Source organism: Homo sapiens, chromosome 8 (assembly GCF_000001405.40).
Source record: "Homo sapiens chromosome 8, GRCh38.p14 Primary Assembly".
Taxonomy (NCBI): Eukaryota; Metazoa; Chordata; class Mammalia; order Primates; family Hominidae; genus Homo; species Homo sapiens.
In genome coordinates this window covers 86,040,991-86,046,999 of record NC_000008.11, presented here as the reverse complement: position 1 = coordinate 86,046,999, position 6,009 = coordinate 86,040,991, and the positions used below count along the sequence as shown (strand labels likewise).

The 6,009-nt window shown below is 39.1% G+C and overlaps 1 pseudogene; it reads right to left on the bottom strand.

Moving 5' to 3' along the window:
* Positions 3,457-3,963, bottom strand: RPL32P4 (ribosomal protein L32 pseudogene 4; annotated as a pseudogene).

Sequence of the window (6,009 nt, the reverse complement as noted above, 5' to 3'; positions counted from 1 at the left end):
AGAGAGAGGAGTGCAATTTGGTGCCACCTCATGGCCTTGGGGGACAGTTTGGTAGTAATATCTACTCACATTAAAAATGCATTGACCTTTGATCTAATTGCATCATTGGTAGCAATTTGTCCTACATATATTCTTGCCAAAGTGTGTATAAAACATTGTGCATAAGGTATAAAACATTGTTATTATATTAACAGTCATAAATAAATGCCTATTAGTAGGAGAATGCCTTAAAGCATGTTACCTTTAAGCAAAGGTCTACTATGTAGCCATTAAAAATAATGCGGTAGATCTGTAAGTTTTGTTATATAACATGTTATTGTGTTAAATGAATAAGCAAAAAGCACAGAAGTATTACAGTATGTATTTGTGTGAAAAAAATATGTTCAGAAGCTTGAAAGATTGCTAAGAATTTGATAAAGGAGACAGTGATTATTTCTGGAGAAAAAAAGAATAAGTCTGGGGTGGGAGGGAAAGGTTTACTTTTCATTTTACACCTATTTCTACCTTAACATTAAAAAAATTGATGTATTTCGTCTGAGTGCAATGGCTAACCCCTGTAATACTGGCACTTTGGGAGGCTGAGGCGGGTGGATCACTTGAGGCCAAGAGTTTGAGACCAGCCTGGCCAACACGGCAAGACCTCATCTCTACTAAAAATGCAAAAATTAGCTGGACGTGGTGGTGTACAACTGTAATCCCAGCTACTCAGGAAACTGAGGCATGAGAATCACTTGATCCTGGGAGGTCAAGGTTGCCGTGAGCAGAGATCATGCCACTGCACTCCAGCTTGGGTGACAGAGTGAGATCCTGTCTCAAACAAACAAACAGAAAAATTGATGTATTTCTTTTAAGTCTATAGTAAAAAGAAAATGCAATTAAAAATGCAAGTGGCAAAAGGGAAACAATCTAAAAGGGAGAAGCTTGAATAAGCACCCCGATAGGAACTGGGGATTGACTAATGAGATGTGAAAACTGGTTCTTTTTAATTGAATATTTCATATATTTGCCCCCTGAAGTTTTTAGAATACAAAAAAAGCAATCAAAATTTCTAATGCTAATACTTTCAGATTTCTTAAGTGATCAGGAAGTCGCTTTCACATGCTGCCATGGTCATTTTATCCTAATATTTATTGAAAACTTACTCTGTGCCTAGTACTATGCTAAGACTTTAACATACATTATTTCATTTGCTCCTCACAACAAAGCTATAGGGTATTATACTTAATTTGGTTTCTATCTGAGGAAACTGAGGCTCACAGATGTGAAGTAACTTATCCAAGGTCATCAGTAGGTAAATAGCAGATATGGAATCAGAAACTCAGAACTTTTCCCTTAATCTCTTTGTTGGATATTTCCAAGAATTGAGAATGCAAAAGTCAGGTTCTGATGACTTAGATTTTGTCTATGCTGCCACAAAGAAACAATGCCACACAATATTATGCTGAGTTATGGTGTAAATATTTCTAGTTTCCACGGATAATTGACTTTCATCTTTGCCTGTGTAGGTTGCCTTGAGGTGCTTTTCTACCCTCACCAGCCGTAACGAGCCCGCCCAGCAAGCATCCTGAAGTCCAAGGGCAGGACTAGGTTATTGCTGGGACAACAAAGGTTATTAAATGCAGGGCAAGGCGCGAGGTCTAGGAGAAGTGGGGCTGGTCTAGGAAGACGGTCAAGCCTCAGAGATCAGCAAAGTCAGGGAGTTTGTAATTTGGAGAGGCCGTCTGCAGAAGACGAGATCAGAAGAATCTCAGACACATGCTCCAGGCAACCCAGGCTCAATAACCCAGGTAGAGGGAAACAATTGGGTGTCAGAGCCTTTGAAGAGGGGCTTAACACTGAGTCAAAGATTTCTCAAGGTCAGAGTGCTTGTGTACATGGTGACTGGGGGACCATTAATGAGACAGCCTACAGGATAGGAGGATTGAGAGGTAGGCAGTGCCTCTTGACTCCTACGTTTTTAGGTTCTCAAGAGCACGGACCAGGTCTTATTATCTTTGAAACCCTGGGATCTGGTAGCCCACATATAGCAGGCACTCAGTTAGTGTTTGAAAATGAATTGTGGACTGGTGTCTGTATCCCCTTTTCTCTGCTCAGCAGCCAGAGTTCCCTTTGAAGATCTTCTAAATCACTCGCCTCTGTGTAGAAGGATGAATGAGACGGGAAAGGAAGAGGCATGACGAGGGAGACAAGATGCCTAGCGGGATGTACACTGGAAATTTTCATTCGTAGAAAAAAAATCCTTCTCTCTCCTGCTGAGTACCCCCGGGCCCTCGCTAAGAATCCTCCCAACCTTAAAGACTTTTGAATGGAAGGTTGTGATTGGGTTATTAGTTCTCTTCTCTCCAGCTTTTGTAAAGTTCTTACAAATCAACTCAGTTTGTTTTTTAACTGTTTCTCTAATAAGCTCGTGGTTCTCTCAGAGGCTTAGTTTCCTGTTATCTTGATTTGGTGTGACAAGGAACTTCTATGTCAGTTTATCCCCCAGAATGGAATTCTCCCCCCTCCCTTTTCCTACTGCAAACAAAACAGACCAACAAGCAAATTAACCAACCAACCAATCATCTTACCTTTCTAAATTGTACTTTCGAATAAATAGATTTTGACAGTCGAATAAATAGATTTTTACATTCCTACAAATTAGACATATCATTCAGCTTTATTGTGAACTCCTGGGAGAAAAATAGATAAACTAGCACTTTTTCATCTATTTTGACCCTATTCTACCATCCTCTGGTGAAATTAGGTATTGCAAATCAATTTCTAAATGTGGATATTCTTTTCTTTATTTGACCAGGGTTAATATCAATAGAGTGAAAAGAGCACTCAGTTTATTTTATAATAAACACATTAAACCTCACCTTTTCTTTTCTTTCTTTTCTTTTCTTTTCTTTTTTTTTTGTGATACAAGGTTTTACTCCTGTTGCCCACACCAGTGTGCAGTGGCATGATCTCTGCTCACTGCAGTCTCAACCACCTGGGCTCACATGATCCTTCCACCTTAGCCTCCAGAGTAGCTGGAACCACAGATACGCATCACTATGCCTGGCTAATTTTTGTATTTTCAGTAGAGACAGAATTTCCCCATGTTGCCCAGGCTAGTCTGAAACTCCTGGCCTCAAGTGATCTGCCTGCCTTGGCCTCCAAAAGTGCTGGGATTTCAGGCACGAGCCGCCACACCCAGCCATGTTTCATTTTTCTTATTACCTTTCTTATTACTTTTGTGGAATCACTTTTACTTATTTCCTAATAGAAAAAACAAGTGTCTCCTGAATGATAATGTAAACTTCTTTCATTGCTATGTAATACTCGTTTAGGTTTTGTCTTATATTATTATTTGTTCTGAGCTCTCTTACTTAGTATATTCTCTCTCACCCTTTTTCTGTTTCCTGGAAGCTATGTGATAGTTCATTGTCATCTTTGCCTGCCATATTTTATTTTTCAGTTTTTTATGGTGGTTTTATTGAAACACAAAACATGCACATGAGCTGTCTCTTCATTTTCTTTGCTGCACAACCTGGCATTGTGGTTGGTGACTCTGATGGCCAGCTGGGTGGCCCTTTCCATGTGGCTTTGCGGTTCTGGAAGGAAACATTGTGAGTGATCTCAGCAAAGTAAGATTTGTTGCACATCAGCAGCACTTCCAGCTCCTTGGCGTTGTGGACCAGGAACTTCCGGAAGCCATCAGCAGCATGTGCTTTGTGTTTTTTTGTTGCGCCCATAACCAGTGTTGGGCATCAAGATCTGGCCCTTGAACTTTCTACGAACCATGTTGTCAATATCTCTGGGTTTCCCGTCAGTTACGCTTAATTTTGACATGTTTGTCTAACTGGTGCTAGATGAACTTCTTGGTCCTCTTTTTGATGATCTTGGGCTTCATGAGGGATCTGAGAACGGCCATGATGCCATGGAGAAGATGACTGCCATCTCCATAGGCAGTACCGAGGAAGACAGCTTTGCTTGCCATATTTTAAAAATGTTTGTTTAAAAGATCTACTTCAATGACATATACAGAATGTTAATGACTATGTTTTGAAGGGTTCTATAATGTTTAACATAACCTGTAGAACAGAAATCATGCTCACATGAGTTGTAGTCACCTTTTCATACTATTGTATATTATACCATTGTCTATTAGCTACATATAAATACGTGATGGTGAAAAATGAATAGAATTCTGGAAAGTTAAAATCTTTAGGCTAATGTACACTTTCCATTTAATATGACTAATAATGATTGACTTGTGCTTGGGATTTTTTTAAAACTTTTACTACAGATGCTTTATTTATTTATTTTAAATTTTACTTTTTTATTTTTTGAGATGAGGTCTTACTATAATGGTAGGTTGGTCTTGAACTCTTGGCGTCAAGCAATCCTCCCACTTCAGCCTCCCAAGGTCTTAGGATTACAGATGTGAGCCGCCACAACTGGCCATTAGAAGCTTTACTTTAAAAAGTGATTTTTAACAAGAATTAAATTCACAGAGGGAGGTTCTAAAACCTTAAACATGAGTTAATATGACCTCAATTTCAATCTTGAGACCTAAGACGGTGCATTAGTTTCCTAGGGCTGCTGTAATAAAATACCACAAACCAGGTGGCTTAAAACAACAGAAATTCATTCCCTCACAGTTCTGGAGGACAGAAGTCCAAAATCCAGGTGTCTCCGGGTTTGGTTCCTTCAGGAGGCTCTGAGGGAGAATCTGCTCTGTCCCTCTCTCCCAGCTTCTGGTGGTGGCCAGCAGCCCTTGGCGCTCCATGGCTCATGGCTGCCCACCTGTTTCTGCTGTAGTCTTCACTTGGCTTTCTCCTCTGTGTGTCCCTGTGTCTTTTCCTTTTCTGTCTTTTATAAGGATTCTCATCAATGGATTTAGGGTTCCATCCTATTTCAGGATGATTTCATCTCTAGATCCTTACCTTAATTACATTTGAAAAGACTCATTCCAAATAAGGTCACAGTCTGAGGTTCTGCTTGGATGTATCTTTTAGGGGTCACTGTGCCACCCACTACACATGGAAATCATCATCTGTGGTTTGCAGCTTTGAAGAAAATATGTGGTATCTTCCCTGAGCCCTGGTGTCCTAAACCACTTTCTTTGTCTTTCTCTTGTCTCTGGCCTTGGCTTTATGGCCCTACTTTCAATGTTTTATGAAATGGTGCTTTCAGTATTAATTAGTGGATTTGTTCAGAACAATATTCTATGTAATTGTTCCAATTCCATAAAATTATGTAATTACATTCTATTTCTTGGTATATAAATTCAGGAAAAGAGAGAATCTTATTTGCCTCTGAGAAATAATGAATTGAAAGTACCAGATATTACTGTCTGTTTATTTATTCATTTTCCTGTTTTAAAGGTTTTAAGGTATCTTACGTAAATAGATAAAAATGAGATAAAAGGCCACTTGAATTGAGTGGAAAAGGAATGCAGGAAAAAAAACCCCTGAAAGTAGGAGGGATAGGAAAAACTAAGATAATATTCTCACATAAAAATTAGAAACAAAAATATAAAACATTTAAACCCATAAATTACAGAAGGCGACTTTATATTTGACTTCGTTTTCTGGTAATCCCTTCAAAGAAGAAAGCAGATACATGCTTCAATGTGGTCATAAAATTACAACAAATAATTTTAATTAGTTGCTTGAGGGAAGCACATTCATTCCTGACCCAGACTGAAAAGAATTTCTTGTGGGATCTCCCAGGGAGGATGTACAATGTAATTAACAAGTGCAATGCAATCAGCAACATCCTCGTAGTAAACACAGTGAGCAGTTTCCACAGGTTCTTGTTCATAATGTCCCTCAATGTCGGCCAGTGGGTAATTTGATGAAAACAAGTCCAGGGAGCTCAAAAGAACATGGTCCAGGGATGGAGCTCCATGTTTGTCTGGATTACTGGAGAGAGGGATTTTTAGAAGATTCAAATGAAGGAATAGCTTACTTGCTTTTCAAATAATATTCCAGAAATATTGTTTCTCACCCTGATTTTGGTTTGCACTGCACAGCAGTG